Source organism: Homo sapiens, chromosome 12 (assembly GCF_000001405.40).
Source record: "Homo sapiens chromosome 12, GRCh38.p14 Primary Assembly".
In the NCBI taxonomy this organism is placed as follows: Eukaryota; Metazoa; Chordata; class Mammalia; order Primates; family Hominidae; genus Homo; species Homo sapiens.
Genome location: NC_000012.12, coordinates 95,504,575 through 95,521,237, shown reverse-complemented (window position 1 = coordinate 95,521,237; position 16,663 = coordinate 95,504,575). Strand labels below are relative to the sequence as shown.

Below are 16,663 nucleotides of genomic sequence, written 5' to 3'. Positions count from 1 at the left end.
ATTGTGTGGATAATTTTACACTGGTTTGTTCACAGGTGGTCAGGACGTAATAACCGAGAGAAGATTGGTGTTCATGTTGGCTTTGAGGAAATCTTAAACATGGAGCCCTATTGCTGCAGGGAGACCCTGAAATCCCTCAGACCAGAATGCTTTATCTATGACTTGTCCGCGGTGGTGATGCACCATGGGAAAGGATTTGGCTCAGGGCACTACACTGCCTACTGCTATAATTCTGAAGGAGGTATAGATAAGAAAAAGTATTTTATCTTGGGTTGGACTTGGAGGCTGGAGTTCAGGCTTTAACCGATTTCTAAATTGACTACTAAATCATAAACAAAGCTACTCGACCACTTATTTTCTTAGGGAGAATGCCTCTGCAGGTACTAAAAAATGAGAGTTAATGCATGAAATATTTTCTGTAGGTTTTGCAGTACTTTTGACTAAGGGCTGGAGGGATATAATAATGAGGATAGTCTTGTTGCTAACTAAAAGTCAGAGTGTTAACTTTTCTTAAAGACACACTTCAAAAAGCAGATCGTATGTTTACTGGTTTACTTCAGTTAATTTCGTTAAAGAAATAGGGTACCTAATGAACTGGGGGATCATAGATATTTGGAACAAACACTGCGTTCAAGTTTAACACACAAAACTCACTTATTTTCTGCCTTCTAGGATAGTCTAGTTCTAGCAAAAGTGATTGGATTGAGATTTTATTTTTTACTCCCCCCAACACCTTTTTTTTTTGTGAGATGGAGTCTCGCTCTGTCGCCCAGGCTGGAGTGCAGTGGGACGATCTCAGCTCACTGCAACCTCTGCCTCCCGGGTTCAAGCAATTCTCCTGCCTCAGCCTCCCAAGTAGTTGGGACTACAGGCACATGCCACCATGCCTGGATAATTTTTTGTATTTTCAGTAGAGACGGGGTTTCACCATGTTAGCCAGGATGGTCTCAATCTCCTGACCTTGTGATGCGCCTGCCTCGGCCTCCCAAAGTGGTGGGATTACAGGCATGAGCCACCACACCCAGCCTTACTTCCCCTTTTGATACTTACTGTTGAACAAAGAATGAAACTCCAACTCCCCACCCCCACCCAACACAGCCCAAACAGAAAAAGAGAGGTGAGGACAAGAAGCCCAATAATCCACCAGGGTAACTCAACACTGAGCTACCAAAAACTACCAAGTTAATTGTACACTATTGGCTTTTTTTTTTTTTTTTTTTTTTTTTTTTTGAGACAGAGTCTCACTCTTTCCCCTGGGCTAGAGTACAGCAGCATGATCTCGGCTCACTGCAACCTCCGCCTCCCAAGTAGCTGGGATTGCAGGTGTGCACCACCACGCCTGGCTAATTTTTGTATTTTTAGTAGAGACGGGGTTTCACCATGTTGGCCAGGCTGGTCTTGAACTCCTGGCCTTAAGTGATCTGTCAGCCTTGGTCTCCCAAAGTGCCGGGTTTACAGGCGTGAGCCACCATGCCCGACCCAATTTGCCTTTTAATACAGATTGAGGGCCGGGCGCGGTGGCTCACGCTTGTAATCCCAGCACTTTGGGAGGCCGAGGCGGGTGGATCACGAGGTCAGGAGATCGAGACCACGGTGAAACCCCGTCTCTACTAAAAATAAAAAAAAAAAATTAGCCGGGCGTGGTGGCGGGTGCCTGTAGTCCCAGCTACTCGGAGAGGCTGAGGCAGGAGAATGGCGTGAACCCGGGAGGCGGAGCTTGCAGTGAGCCGAGACTGCGCCACTGTACTCCAGCCTGGGTGACAGAGCGAGACTCCATCTCAAAAAAAAAAAAAAAAAAAAAAAAATACAGATTGAGTATACCTTGTCTGAAATGCTCGGGACCATAAGTGTTTTGAATTTTGGATTTTTTTGCATAGACATTATGAGGTATTGTAAGGATGGGACCCAGGTTTAGACATGAAATTCATTTGCTTCATATACACCTTGTACACATAGCCTAAATATTTTATACAACACTTTAAATAATGAAACAGTTTCATTAACAGAGTGCATATAACAAAGTTTGTACATTGAGCAATCAGCAAACAAAGGTGTCACTATCTCAGCCACTCATATGGACAGTCTGGTGGTTTGGCATCACCATAATTCCTGGCTGATTTTTATATGCTAATATAAGCAGTCATTAGCATACTTATGTGCATGTAATGTACATAAGTGCATTATGCTTATGTGCCCATAAGTTTCACAGTAAAAAATATTAATACAGTGGAAAAAAATGTGTTCAGGGTTACTTATGACATCATGTTGGCACAAAAAGTTTTGGTTTGGAATTTTTTTTTTTAAGACAGTCCCTCTATCACCCAGGCTTGAGGGCAAGCTGCGCCATCCTTGCTCACTGCAACCTCTGCCTCCCAGGTTCAAGCCATTCTCTTGCTTCAGCCTCCTGAGTAGCTGGGAATTCAGGTGTGCACCACCACGCCTGGCGAATTTTTGTATTTTTAGTAGAGACAGGTTTCACCATGTTGGCCAGGCTGGTCTCTAACTCCTGGCCTCAGGTGATCTGCCTGCCTCGGCCTTCCAAAGTGCTAGGATTACAGGCATGAGCCACCATGCCTGGCCAGATTTTGGAATTAGGGATGATCATCCTGTATGATTAGTGGCAAAAGCATTAACTGGTAGATTTACACAAAGAATAAATAGTGTCAGGTACTCTAATCAGTCACATGCTGTGAAAAACTTAAGCTACTTTTAGAATAAAGGTAGATAATTCCAGGGTAACACTGCCCAATCTATATTTCTCATTAAAGAAAAATGAATTGGCTAGAAAATTATTTTCCCTTCAGAAAAAGCTTCTCACTCAATGCCTTTCATACTAGAATTTTCTAAAGTCCCTTCATAAATGTATTTCTGTGCTTCACTCTAGGGTTCTGGGTACACTGCAATGATTCCAAACTAAGCATGTGCACTATGGATGAAGTATGCAAGGCTCAAGCTTATATCTTGTTTTATACCCAACGAGTTACTGAGAATGGACATTCTAAACTTTTGCCTCCAGAGCTCCTGTTGGGGAGCCAACATCCCAATGAAGACGCTGATACCTCGTCTAATGAAATCCTTAGCTGATCCAAAGACAATGGGGTTTTCTTCCTGTGATTTATATATATACTTTTTAAAAGACTGATGTACCATTTTAAACTTCATTTTTTCTTGTGAATCAGTGTATACTACATTTATACATTTTATATCTAACAATTTTTTTTTTTACAAAGTATAAATGTATATATCAACTGAAGGTAACTACTTTTTTCATATTTGGAGTTTTAAACTTTTGGTGTTTACCTCAGACTGATGTTACCTCTTTTATATTTTTATGTCTTAATTGGCTCGGATGATGAACTTGTGCAATCTTCTACCAACAAAGTTCAAGTGGCATCATTTTATATACATGTATCTTTTTCAGGTATTTTCTATACAAATTCTTAATAGATGGAAAATTAGACTCTACTTTGGTCACTAATAGTCTTTCATTTGTATATTGAAGTTACCTTGCCCCTTGGAGTTATTGAAGTGACATGTCAAGGTATCACCTAAATATTCTTCAGTCACACTCACTGGTATTTCTGAGGCTTTGTGTGTTAACAGGCCTTGTAATTGACATTATTTTGGTTAATGTAACCCCAAAATTGCTTTAGTAATTGCTCTTTGGCATAGTCAAACTATAAATGAAAATGGCAGCTTTACAAATAGTATATTTAAGTGAACTCTGGAACTATGGACATGAAAAAAATGATGGCTGGGATTTATGATTTTTGTCTGGCAGCAAACAGGTTTGTCCAGAAGTCTAATAATTAAGCAGTCATAAAAAGTCTGAATTTAGTAAACCAGTGTATGATGTTATTCAAATAGTTTACCTTGGGTATGAGTTCATTTTATAATGTCTGATGACATTAGATCTCTTAAAACTTTATGTATTTTTTTTAGTTCAAAGGAATAGAGTCTTGAAGAGAAAAAATTATAGGGCAGAAAAGATAAGTGTTCAAAATTGGCAACTGGACTATTATTATGTCTAGCATCTCATTCTAAATAACTAAAGCTTGATTTACTCTTGCTAGGATTATGTGACTACTAGGTAGGAGCCTCTTAAAACACTGGCCCTGAGCATTAAAAAAAAAAAAAAAAACTAAAAGCTATCTATCTAAACTTGCACAAAAAAAAATACAGTGTGAGTCACTCTTTTTCTTCTTCTGATAATCTCACTGGGTTTCTTTAAAGTCCTGTTGCTGCTAACTTTATCTTATTTGGAGAGGGTAGAATCAACTAATCTCTGTAGACCAGCTATGTATCTAAGCTCTGTTAACCACAGGAAGATCATGTATCCCTTTTTTATAAGTGGGTTTATTTGCAGGTTGAAGTCTTAGTGAAAGATAGTATCCTGTAGAATGCTGTTCACCACTAGTGATCATCTGTTAAGTACAAACTTGAAAGAGGTCTCTACCAATAAATTTTTCTTAAATTTCACAAAACAAGTCATCTGGGTTAGCTGATAGTGAGGTGCAGTGAGACTTTTATCACTGAATAGACAAATCATTTGTGCCGAAAATACATCTGGAATATTAAATGGCTATGTTTAAAATTGTTCATAATACCTATGCAAGTTGTTACCTCAACTGTTACACACTTCTTAATACCTCATTAAAAATTTACATGGTCAAGATAACCAGAGTCTACTCTTTTCTAATTTCAAGGACTATTTTTAACGTTATACATTTTAGCACGTCATTTTAATGGAACTGTAAAAACTCCTGAGCTATTTGTAATGGTATCGTTGCTTGTACTTATTTCAATATAAAAACATACAAGAGGCCGGACGCCATGGCTCATGCCTGTAATCCCAGCACTTTGGAAGGCCGAGGCGGGCAGATCACAAGGTCAGGAGATCAAGACCATCCTGGCTAACACAGTGAAACCCCATCTCTACTAAAAATACAAAAAAAAAAAAAATTAGCCAGGCGTGGTAGCATGCATCTATAGTCCAGCTACTCAGGAGGCTGAGGCAGGAGAATAGCTTGAACCCGGCTGCAGTGAGCTGAGATCGCGCCACTGCACTCCAGCCTGGGTGACAGAGCGAGACTCCCGCTAAAAAAAAAAAAAAAAAAAAAAAAAAAAAAAACAAAGTGACTTAGCCCTTTACTTTTTAATCCCTTAAAACTAACAAACACCTATGGGGGGAGGCTTGGAAAAGGGGGATATTATTGGGGGGGGGTCTGGGAAATCTGTAGTACTTTCCACTAAATTTTAGTGTGAAAAATGTCTCAAAATACCAACAATAAAATTAAAACCTAAACAATAAACAGAAACTTAGATTTCTTACTATTTATCTTAAATCTCAACATGGACGTCTACATTCTGCTAAGTTGATCTAACAAAAAACAACATGTTTTAGTTGTAAAATAATTTACTAAAGGCACTATTGTTAAACATCAAACTAATAACTTGTTGCCAATAAGGTACATCGTTGTAAACATAACAAAATTTTAAGAGATACATGGCTAATAAGCAAACAATACAATTTTTAGTTACAGCTTTCCTACTTACAAGATCATGTCCCTTCCAGCCATTACAAGGGCATACAGTGATGCCATTGCTCCCAACAGTTACCTGGGAAGGGAGCTTGGAGCTCCTAATTGGTTTGAGATCATGACTGCCAAGGTCTTTAAAAGCTCCAAAAGTCTTCACTCATAAAGGTCAATTCTAAAATTGCTGGGTTTAGAAATCAAGATACTTGCTTTATACTTCCACATCAAAAAGATACGGACTCAACCCCAAAGGAGCTAGCTGGAGGGCCCAGCCCTGACAGTATGTCCAGGCATGAACTGGCGAGCTCTGCTGCTAGCCACAGCATCACAGAGAATGGAGACATTAGTCAAATGTGGCTACTGAACATTAGCACCATAATAAACATAGCTCATACAGCTAAAACCTAGATTGTTTCCCGACAAGGTAACATTCATTTATAGCTCTAATGCTGAAAGAGCAGCTTTTTAATGTAACAGATGATCTAGGTACACAAGTCATAGGTTTCTCTTCCTAGGATAAAAACGTTCAACAAAATACAAACTAAACAGCATCCCAGAGGCAATAAAATCTCATTGTACTGAAACATATACAAATTAAGGCTACCTTGATATATAAATGATTTAGAAATTATGATGGAACATTCCCATAAAATTATTTAAATATAAGAATTCAATTTGTCAAAGAATCAGTAGTGGGCCTCAGTTCAAACAAATTAATATTACCATCGTTACATTCAACTTAATACACTTAGCCGCTATAAGGAAAGTAACTGTAACGTCACTTCCTGAAATACCACTAGTAATGTTAAGAATCCAAACCTGTCAAAGGGGAAGGTATTACAGCATTTGCCTCATGAATGAAAAAGTCCAAGAATTTCAACTTAATTTTTCTAACTAGAACAAGATCCAAACATGGGAAGTTTTTTTTTTTCTTCTTTGCTTTTGTGGCTTTAATACCCTTTTGGTTTTCTGAGCAAGCTGAATACATTCCCTGATAAACACCACCACTGGACAAAGGATCTAAACATTGAGATTTTTACTAAATCAAGGTTTTGAGTTGGCACAATGTTCCTACTAAGTCAAGTTTCAATTAGCACATCTTTCCAATGTCAGGAGAAAAAAAGACAAGGACTACTATGTCCTACAAAGAATGGTGAAATATTCCTAAAGCTGTATATTTATGAAGAAAAGGTGATTGTCCCTTTTTATGCATGTGTAGATCTTGTTTTAGCCACTATGCCAGAAAAGTCTCAGTGTAGAGGTCTACATTTCAGATAAATGTCTCTGCATTTGCCTACATTAAGTTTAGCTATTTATCCTGTCCAGAATTATAACCACAGACATTGAGATGTAGCTCTCAGATCTGAAAATGTCTTTATTTTTTAGAAAATGGATTCCAGGAAGGTTAAAAAGCAACACCAGAGGGTATAGGTGCAGAACTGGATGTAGTCATTCAAAGCATTCAAGTAAGAATATGGCAATATAAATATCCAAAAAGTATCTCTTAGGTATTCAAAACAAAACGTATAAGTCATTCCTAACTAATTTGAGCTTTATAGCATTTTCCTAGACAGGAAGGGGAAAAACAGTTAGCATTTAAAAGTCCGGAAAGCTTTTTCGTTGGTTAATTACATTAGACGGTTTGCCTTTGTCCAAATTCCTTCTTTTTTAAACATGGATAAAAGTATTACATGGGTCCACTGTTAAAACAGACAACATGTGGCAAATTAATTCTGGTATCATGTTTTCCAACAAAGCTCAGAAAATAAAGGTGTTGAGGTGGCTTTGGACTAAGTTTAATAGTCATCTCCTCTGCTGACAACTTCTTTACATGTTGGACGCAACAGGATGGTATGTTCAAATTGCGCTGTATATGATCCTTTAATGTCACATAATGGTGGATATGGATCTACAATGCCCAAGTCACACAGATTCTTCAGAGCCATCAAGTATTTACTTTCTCCCAAGCGATCCAGCCATCTGCGGCAGAAGGCAAGGGTTCCAAAGTTTTCATTGATGACATTTAACAAGTGTTTTGTTCTTGGAAGCCTAAGAGGAGAAAATCCAAAATTAACTGTTGGCAAAAGAGTTACGAACTGATTTCCCTCATTAAGAAAAGCCCAGACCTTAGCTGTGTCCTAGTAGTTGAAGTCCAAAAACTTTTATTGTTGCTCTTTCAACAATCAAAAGCCAGAATGTATAATAGCCCATACCTAATTATAGATGGCAGCTGAATAGGACACCAGCTGGAGGCCATCTTATCATGTTTACGTGTCTACGTGCGCGCGCGTGTGCGTGTGTGTGTGTTATATTCCCCACTAGAGACCTACTACAGGGTATTATGATGTGAATTTCCTTTTGTGTGCAGCAAGCTCAAAGACCTGCATATAAAAGATGTAAATGCAGATTTCAATCATCTTCAAATGTTAAAAAATTTCAATGTAAATTGAAAGACGCTGTAAATGGAAGTTTACCAATGGAAAAATATTAAAGCAAAAACCTAGGAATGCTAGCAAAATAATCTCTGACATTTATGATTATCAGAAACCGGACTTGAAGAGAGCACTTGTGTGTGTGTGTGTGTGTGTGTGTGTGTGTGTGTGTGTGTGTAATTTTTATCTCAGTTAAAATGTTTAACAGGCTATTTTTTTTTCTTATTGTTGGGCTACAGAACTCTACATTCATGAATATACTATTTTGTATGTATGCCACATTTTTTAGAAATGCTGTTAACTCAGAAGAGATGCTAATTAGCCACATAAAATCAATCGTCTCGTCTCTCACCTTATTGGCACATGTCCAACATCAAAATTTTTCATGTAATGTGAACATTCCATATCATCATGAACAACACCTTTTCCTGTACTACCAAAGGTTTCAATTGCATATACTTCTCCTTCCTGAAAAATAAATAAGGGTCAAGGGGAGAGAAAGAAGAAAAATTCAGAACGAATCACAATTACCATCTCTCTTTCTCTCTCTCTCTTTTTGAGACAGAGTCTCTCTCTGCTGCCAGGCTGGAGTGCAGTGGTGAGATCTTGGCTCACTGCAACCTCCACTTTCCAGGTTCAAGCGATTCTCCTGCCTCAGCCTCCCGAGTAGGTGGGACTACAGGCACGTGCCACCATGCCTGGCTAATTTTTGTATTTTTAGTAGATACAAGGTTCCACCATGTTGGCCAGGATGGTCTCAAACTCCTGACCTCACTCAGGTGATCTGCCTGCCTTGGTGTCTCAAAGTGCTGGGATTAACAGGCCTGAGCTACCGAGCCTGGCCTACAATTACCATCTCTTGAAGTCTCTACCTGATTAAGCAGCAACATGAAATAGCCCCTGGCGGTCCTTATCTAGCCTTGCCCTGCTTTATCTCCTTAGCACTTTTTGGTCTTTCTGCTTCCCCCTATGAATTATGTTCACAGCTCTACCCCTAGAGCCTACTATAAAGAGACTGGCACCTGAGAATGCTCAATAAATATTCATTAAATGTTGAATAAACAACCCTTTCACAGCCCCAATTTCCACAACTGATTTAGTGCTGACTATACACAATTTGCAAATTCAAATGGCCCAATTCCTGGCAGGGTGAATATGGATGATAAGCAGCTAATTCTGGTCAGTATAACCATATATTTAACTACCATGACCTTCTGCTTGGAAGAAAAAAATGTCTTCCATGGAAGTAAAATGTTAGTGACACACATACCTCCATTCTTGTTGCCTCCCCTCCTTTCACAATCGGCACTGTTTTTCCAGCATGTATTCTATATTGCCCAATTGAATGTCCATTTAGATTACGGATTGGTTTCACTGTTATAAAAAATAGGGAAATAAAAGTCATTCAGGATCTCAAGAAGCAAAAACAGATCTCTTACATTTTGGTACAGAGTTCAAGCATTTATTCAAAAACCAGGTATGGCTTTACTAAATAACCTTACATTAAGGTAGTTTAATATAAACTGGAATCTAGTGGAATATAAAAAGTAGTTGCAGTGTTATTAATACTAGAAGTAGGCCAGGTGCAGTGGCTCATGCCTGTAATCCCAGCACTCTGGGAGGCCGAGGCAAGCGGATCACCTGAGGTCAGGAGTTCGAGACCAGCCTGACCAACATGGCGAAACCCTGTCTCTACTACAAATACAAAAATTCGCTGGGTGTGGTGGTGGGGGCCTGTAATTCCAGCTACTCAGGAGGCTGAGGCAGGAGAATCACTTGAACCCGGGAAGCGGAGGTTGCCGTGAGCCAAGATCACATCACTGCACTTCAGCCTGGGCGAAAGCAACTCCGTCTCAAAAAAAAAAAAAAAAAAAAAAAACGGTGCTAGAAGGGAGGATGGAAGAAAGAAATACAGGATTAAGGGCACAAGGGAGGTCATCTAAGGAGGTATAAGGAGGTACTGTTAACAACAAATAAAATGCCATGTACACAAATTATTAGAAACATAAAAAATACATATTTGTATTGTTACAGACCAAAAGATAATGTGAAAGATACTGTTAATATGACAGTATTATAAAACTTTATATCAACATTTCAAATGTTCAAAAAGAAAACCTATGTGGCTGAGACACAGTAATTAAGAAATAGAAGTAAGAAAGAAGAAAGAAAATCTAAACATCCCACTGTCATGACAGCAAGGACAGAATAGACAAATTGTGGCATATTCACGAGGGAATAACATTCAACAATCAAAACAAAAAGCTAGGAATACATTTAACAACTGGAATAAAACGTCTAGCTTTTTTATTCCAGTTGTTTTAAAACTGACAAAATGAGCAGAAAAAGGCACAATTACATATATACTGTACAATTCCACATATATATAATAGTTCAAAATTAGGCAATAAAACTAGTTTAGGGATGCATAATTAGGTAGTAAAGACATAAAGAAAAGCAAATGAAAATCCTTTCATACTTGCAGTGCTGATAAGCTAAATATATTTTAAAATTCAGACATCATTACTATTTCTCTAAGACCTGGCAAACTGACCCCACAAGCCAAGATGGTGGCTCACTAGAGGCAGGCTGCTGTAATTGGAAAGCAGTGTATTGCTGCTATGGTTTGAATGTATCCCCCAAAGGTCATGTATTGGGAATTTCATCCCCAGTGTGATGGTGTTGGGAGGTGGGACCTAACAGGAGGAGTTTGGGCCATGGAGGCACCACTCTCATCAATGAATTCAAGCCATTATCTCAGGAGTGGGTTCCCTGTAAAGGACAAGTTTGACCATTTCTTGCTCTCTCTCTCAAACTTCTCATTGCCCTTCTGCCTAATGCCATAGGATGATGCAGCAAGAAGACCTTCACCAGATGCCAGTCCCTCAATCTTCCCAGCCTCCAACACTGTGAGAAATCAATTTCTGTTCTTTATAAATTACCTAGTCTCAGGTATTCTGCTGTAGCAGCACAAAACGGACTAAGAAAATGAGACTGAGCGTCTTCTGGAATACTGGCAATATTCAATTTCTTGAGGAGTGAGGTTACGTAGCTTCTGCAATTGAGAAGCTGAGTTTTTATGCTTTGTGCATTTTGTGTTAATATTTCAAATTTTAAAAAAGGGCTAAAAACGGCCAGGTGCAGTGGCTCACGCCTGTAATCCCAACACTCTGGGAGGCCAAGGCAGGTGGATGACTTGAGGTCAGGAGTTCAAGACCAGTCTGGCCAACACAGTGAAACCCCATCTCTACTAAAAATATAAAAATTAGCTGGGCGTGGTGACACACCTGTAGTCCCAGCTATTTGGGAGGCTGAGGCAGGAGAGTCACTTGAACCCGGGAGGCAGAGACTGCAGTGAAATGAAACTGCACCACTGTACTCCAGTCTGGGCGACAGAGTCTCAAAAAAAAAAAAAAAAAAAGGTTGGGGGGGAGGTCTTAAAAAAATTTAACTCTATAACTCTAGAATCCTCAGTATGAGCTACCTTTCTTCTAGAGCAGAGTTAAGTAGTCTGAAGCAATGAACAAGTATGTTACAAACTTAGTGGGACAGCAAGAAAAACAAATCAATTCACTCTTCACAACAACCTTCTTATATAAATGTGTCAAAGTTGTCAGACTCAAACAGAGCTAGGGAAAGCCATGAAGAGAGGGTTCTCATGCTTATACACCTGATAATGAAAATGACTATGAAAACCATAACCTTGCACAAAGCCCACTGCAACCTTACACAAAAAAATACTTCTGCAAGGACATCTGCCCAACAACTGCCTGCCCAACCTCCGACTGGCGTCACTTTTGTTATTAATCTTTGGAGCCAAGGATAATTATTTCAAAACAATTATGTCATCCTCATTTTCGTCTTCAAAAACCTCTGTCTTCCTTACCTCCCTGAATATGCACAAGTTTACTATGGCATTCCCACTGCAATGCTCTATTCCCAAACATCATTTTCTTTTAGAGAGCCTCTGTTTGTTATTTAGGTTGACAAGTAACAAGCTTATTTTAAAATTCAAACTTTGCAGACTGACCCTTACAAGCCAATCAATTTTTTTAAAGAAAGTTTCTTAGCCATACCAACCTAATATGTTAGTTACACAGAAAAATGAGGGTACAGGGGAATTCATTTTTTACTTATGCAGGTTGTAACAGCACAGGCTAATTCTGGGACCAGTAATTTGTTAACAATCACTTTTTAATTCTATTGCTTCCTGATCAAAGGAGATTAAGATACTCCTTTGATGGCCCGTTTGTGCTATGTGTTTTGATTTGTTCTGGAAAGTTCAACCCGGAATCCATTTCTTCATCTCCCTATTATCATGATTTTTCCACATCCTCTCTGCTTAAACTATAAAAATGGATTGTTGCCTTAAACTAAGAACACTGATCAATAAAATAACAGGGATCAAAAGAGGGGTACTGAAATAATGAAACCAAAAATGCTGCACTAGCTTAATGGAAGAGGTAAAAGGGTAGATATTAAAAATCCCGATGTTGCAGGCTGGAATTATTATGCAGTGACTAAAACATTAAGTCAAACTGTCACCTACCATACCTTGAAAGGCAGACCACATACCAAACAAGTTGTAGAATTAGGAGAAAATGAAAGGAAAAAGAGAAGACATTGGTATATGTTGGCTAGTGTTGGAATTTACAAAAATTTCAGCAAATTCTCAAAAAAGAGAAATAACTAACTCTAGAGGTAGTCCCCCAAGCAGACTGCTACAGTGTGTACTCCAAGTTGACATAAGACTCACGAATTTGGAAATAGATTCTGTTCATTTGTAGCAGTGAACCTAGAAATCAGAAGGCCCATGTTCTAGTCCCATAAATTCCTCAAATTAACTTGGCATTTATGCTCTTAATCTCAGCTTTCTTTGGGTTAAGAATCTTGCTTCTGGGGAGCTCATAAAGTGTTAATAGAAGCAGCAACTCCTAAAACTGGTTCTAAGCTATTTAAAGAACTGGACAAAACATTTTCCAAAGAAAAGCACACTGGAAATGAGATCTTCTAAATTCTAGCCTTTAAAAATCTTTTGCTTTCCTTATGGCTTTGGCTAGGATACAAAGAAAAGTATGTTTACCCTTACTAAGGAACATAGTAAATTTAAATCATGTCTTAATGTAAAAATAAATTGTAAAAATTTCACATAACAGTAAGTAAAAGCCAAAAGTAGAATATGTGAATCGGCTGGGTGCGGTGCCTCACGCCTGTAATCCCAGACTTTGGGAGGCCGAGGCAGGCAGATCACCTAAGGTTGGGAGTTCAAGACCGCCTGACCAACATGGAGAAACACCACATCTACTAAAAAAAAAAAAAAAAAAAAAATTGCTGGGCGTGGTGGCGCATGTAATCCCAGCTACTCGGGAGGCTGAGGCAGGAGAACTGCTTGAACCTGGGAGGCGGAGGTTGTGATGAGCCGAGATCGCGCACCATTGTACTCCAGCCTGGGCAACAAGAGCAAAAGTCTCTCTCAAAAAAAAAAAAAAAATCATGAGAATCATGGAAGGTTATCTAATGCTATGATTTTTATTCTCCTCCACATGTGCTTTCACACTGAGAGGAGCCACTAGGGGAAAGGCTGAGTATGTAGAGAAAAGGCGTAATAAGGTGGTATCTCAAAGGAGGTGGAGGATTAACACTGAAAAGAAGATCCTTAACGCAGTGTTTGAGCTAACAATTTAAAAAAATTTTAAAGAAAATACTGTATAGAAGACAGAATATTTCTTCCTTGAAGAACAGAGATAAAAACATAAGAATAGGGAGAAGATGGGCAAATCCCGGCATTTGCCAATCCTGGTATTTTGCCATGTTCTTTATGCAACGTGGAAAAAATGTTAAAGAGTGTTAGGCTTGTTTGGCTATTTTTCTCATCAGGTAAGTAATTTCCTGGATGCGAAGAGCGATTTGGAAGAGCCTGAATAAGCACTGTATTTGTGGCACTAATCCCAGAATTGGGGTGAGAAGGGGACAGAATGACAAATATTTGTTGAATACTTAATAAATTCCAGGCACTATCACACAATTTACATTTCTCAAAATAAACTAGATACCATTAACCCTACTACAGTCAAGAAACTTGGGTATTCAGGTTACAGATTTATCTAAGACTCCAAGTAAAAACTGCCTGAACCCCAAAGTGTGTTTTCTTCATTATCCCACACCTCCTACCTAAGTGTGAGTAACATCAAGAGTATTCTGGGCCGGGTACAGTGGCTCACGCCTGTAATCCCAGCACTTTAGGAGGCCAAGGTGGGCAGATCGCCTGATCTGGCCAACATGATGAAGCCCCATCTCCACTAAAAAAAAAAGTCCAAAAATTAGCCAGCATGATGACACACACCCGTAATCCCAACTACTCGGGAGGCTGAGCTTATAGTGATCCAAGACTGCACCACTGCTCTCCAGCCTGGGTGACAGAACGAGTAAGACTCTGTCTCAATAAATAAATAAATAAATAAATAAATAAATAAGTATTCTGCTTTGCACTTGTGTTCACAGGATTAGAGATCTTAAAGAGAATATCTGAAAATCAAATAACAAAGAAGTTAAAGATATAGATGAGAGAAGAATTAAAGCTGCCAACACAGGGTCTAGGCAGGAGGAAGGGAAATGAAACCTTGAAGAACAATGAAATGGAAGAATATCTTGATATCAAAAAACATATATAGGCTGGGCACGGTGACTCATGCCTGTAATCCCAGCACTGTGGGAAGCCGAGGCGGGCGGATCATGAGGTCAAGAGATTGAGACCATCCTGGCAAATATAGTGAAACCCCGTCTCTACTAAAAATACAAAAATAAATTAGCTGGGTGTAGTGGCGCATGCCTGTAATCCCAGCTACTTGAGAGGCTGAGGCAGAAGAATCGCTTGAACCCGGGAAGCGGAGGTTGCCGTGAACCAAGATTGCGCCACTGCACTCTAGCCTGGGCGACAGAGTGAGATTGCGTCTCAAAAAAAAAAAAAAAAAAGCATATATATTAGAAATAAAAATAAATATTTTTTAAAAAATACAAAAATTAGCCAGGTATGATACTGTACATCTGTAGTCCCAGCTACTCGGGAAGCTGAGCGCACTCCACCGAGTGCTTGAGCAAGGGGGTTGGGCTGCAACCGTGCCACTGCACTCCAGCCTGGACAACAGAGGAAGACTCTTTTTTATTTTTTTCCCCAGACGAAGTCTCACTCTGTCGCCCAGGCTGGAGTGCAATGGTGCAATCTTGACTCACTGCAACCTCTGCCTCCTGGCTTCAAGTGATTCTCCTGCCTCAGCCTCCCGAGTAGCTGAGATTACAGGTGTGTGCCATCACGCCTGGCTATTTTTTTTTTGTATTTAGTAGAGACGGGGTTTTACCATGTTGGCCAGGCTGGTCTCAAACTCCTGACCTCAGGTGACCCACCCACTTTGGCCTCCCAAAGTTTTGGGATTACAGGCGTGAGCCACCACGTCTGGCAGACTCTGTCTAAAAAAAGAGTTGGGCACGGTGGCTCATGCCTGTAATCCCAGCACTTCGGGAGGCCGAGGTGGGCGGATCACCTGAGGTCTGGAGTTCGAGACCAGCCTGGCCAACATGACAAAACCCCGCCTCTACTAAAAATACAAAAAGCAGCCAACTATGGTGGCACACGTCTGTAATCTCAGCTACTCAGGAGGCTGAGGTAGGAGAATGGCTTGAATGGCTCGAACCTGGGAGGCAAAGGTTGCAGTGAGCCGAGATCGTGCCACTGCACTCCAGCCTGGGTGACAGAGCAAGACTCCATCTCAAAAAAAAAAATTTGGCCGGGCGTGGTGGTGGGCACCTGTAATCCCAGCTAATGAGGAGGCTGAGGCAGAATCGCTTGAACCCAGGAGGCAAAGGTTGCAGTGAGCCGAGATTGCATCATTGCATCCCAGCCTGAGCAACAGAGCGAGAGACTGTCTCAAAAAAAAGTTTAAGTCTGGTAATAAATTTCAGTATTTAGACATGAAAGAGGACTGTTACGTTGGTGGTAACTGTCTATATAGAAGGCACGGTCAGGTTCCAGAGGAAGAATCACTTCTGCTCTTGGTAGAAACACATAATGGGCAACAGGAAATGCAAAGAATGCTGAATGGTGTGAATTTACTAAGAGGCAAGAAAACAACATGAGAGTCTCCACTCACAGTCTACAAAGAGAGACAGAATTCTGTTAAAGGAAATATAGAAAATAGTCTATAAGGAAGTTATTACAGCAGGATCACAGAGAATAATGAGCACAGATGAGGGAGGAGGATGGTGGCTGGGGGATGGTCAGACAGACCTGGGAGCCAGAGGAGGACTGGACTGACAGAGGTTAACGTACAGCACCAGAAAGCACAGGGGACTCTGGGAGTATATACTTGAGGTAGTCACTGGTAAAGACTAGAAGGCAAAGGAACTTGGGAATTAAAGTGATACAGAAGGAACTGGCCTCCAAATTCTGAATGTGATTCCAAAAAACCACAGGCTAGGAGCAGTGGCTCACACCTGTTATCCCTGCACTTTGGGAGGCTGAGGTGGGAGGATCGCTTGAGCTCAGTAGTTCAAAATCAGACTGAGCAACACAGTGAGACTTCGTCTCTACAAAAAAATTAAAAATCAGCCGGGCATGGTGGCCCACACCTGTAGTCCCAACTACCCGGGAGGGCTAAGGTGGGAGGATCGCTTAAGCCTAAGCCTGGGAGGTTGAAACTA

At 40.0% G+C, this 16,663-nt stretch overlaps 2 protein-coding genes across 30 annotated transcripts in view, besides 1 other annotated feature; one reads left to right on the top strand and one right to left on the bottom strand.

The window, feature by feature from the left end:
• Window positions 1-4,678, top strand: part of USP44 (ubiquitin specific peptidase 44) — a 35,122-nt gene extending 30,444 nt beyond the window's left edge. For 24 of the 25 annotated variants that reach the window (NR_144947.2, NR_144945.2, NR_144946.2 and 21 more), the window contains 2 exons: window positions 36-241; window positions 2,885-4,678. Coding sequence is in view for 18 of the 25 variants with exons in the window: in XM_047429645.1 (XP_047285601.1) it covers window positions 36-241; window positions 2,885-3,084 (406 nt within the window). In the remaining 7 variants the exon portion in view is untranslated. Of the gene's footprint in view, window positions 1-35; window positions 242-2,884 lie in introns of those variants that run through there. The other variant, XR_944757.2, reaches the window with a different exon arrangement.
• Window positions 1,978-2,178: a silencer, noted in NCBI's record as "peak1899 fragment used in MPRA reporter construct". NCBI's record gives its function as "represses an SCP1 promoter by STARR-seq MPRAs in K562 erythroleukemia cells {active_cell/tissue: K562}" and the evidence as "EXISTENCE:reporter gene assay evidence [ECO:0000049][PMID:32103011]".
• METAP2 (methionyl aminopeptidase 2) overlaps window positions 5,399-16,663 on the bottom strand; it is a 41,688-nt gene continuing 30,423 nt past the window's right edge. For 4 of the 5 annotated variants that reach the window (NM_006838.4, NM_001317182.2, NM_001330246.2 and 1 more), the window contains 3 exons: window positions 9,240-9,343; window positions 8,322-8,437; window positions 5,399-7,586 (listed from right to left, as the gene is read on the bottom strand). In NM_006838.4, the coding sequence (NP_006829.1) occupies window positions 7,334-7,586; window positions 8,322-8,437; window positions 9,240-9,343 (473 nt within the window). In that variant the 3' untranslated portion in view covers window positions 5,399-7,333. The remainder of the gene's footprint in view (window positions 7,587-8,321; window positions 8,438-9,239; window positions 9,344-16,663) is intronic. The other variant, NR_133673.2, reaches the window with a different exon arrangement.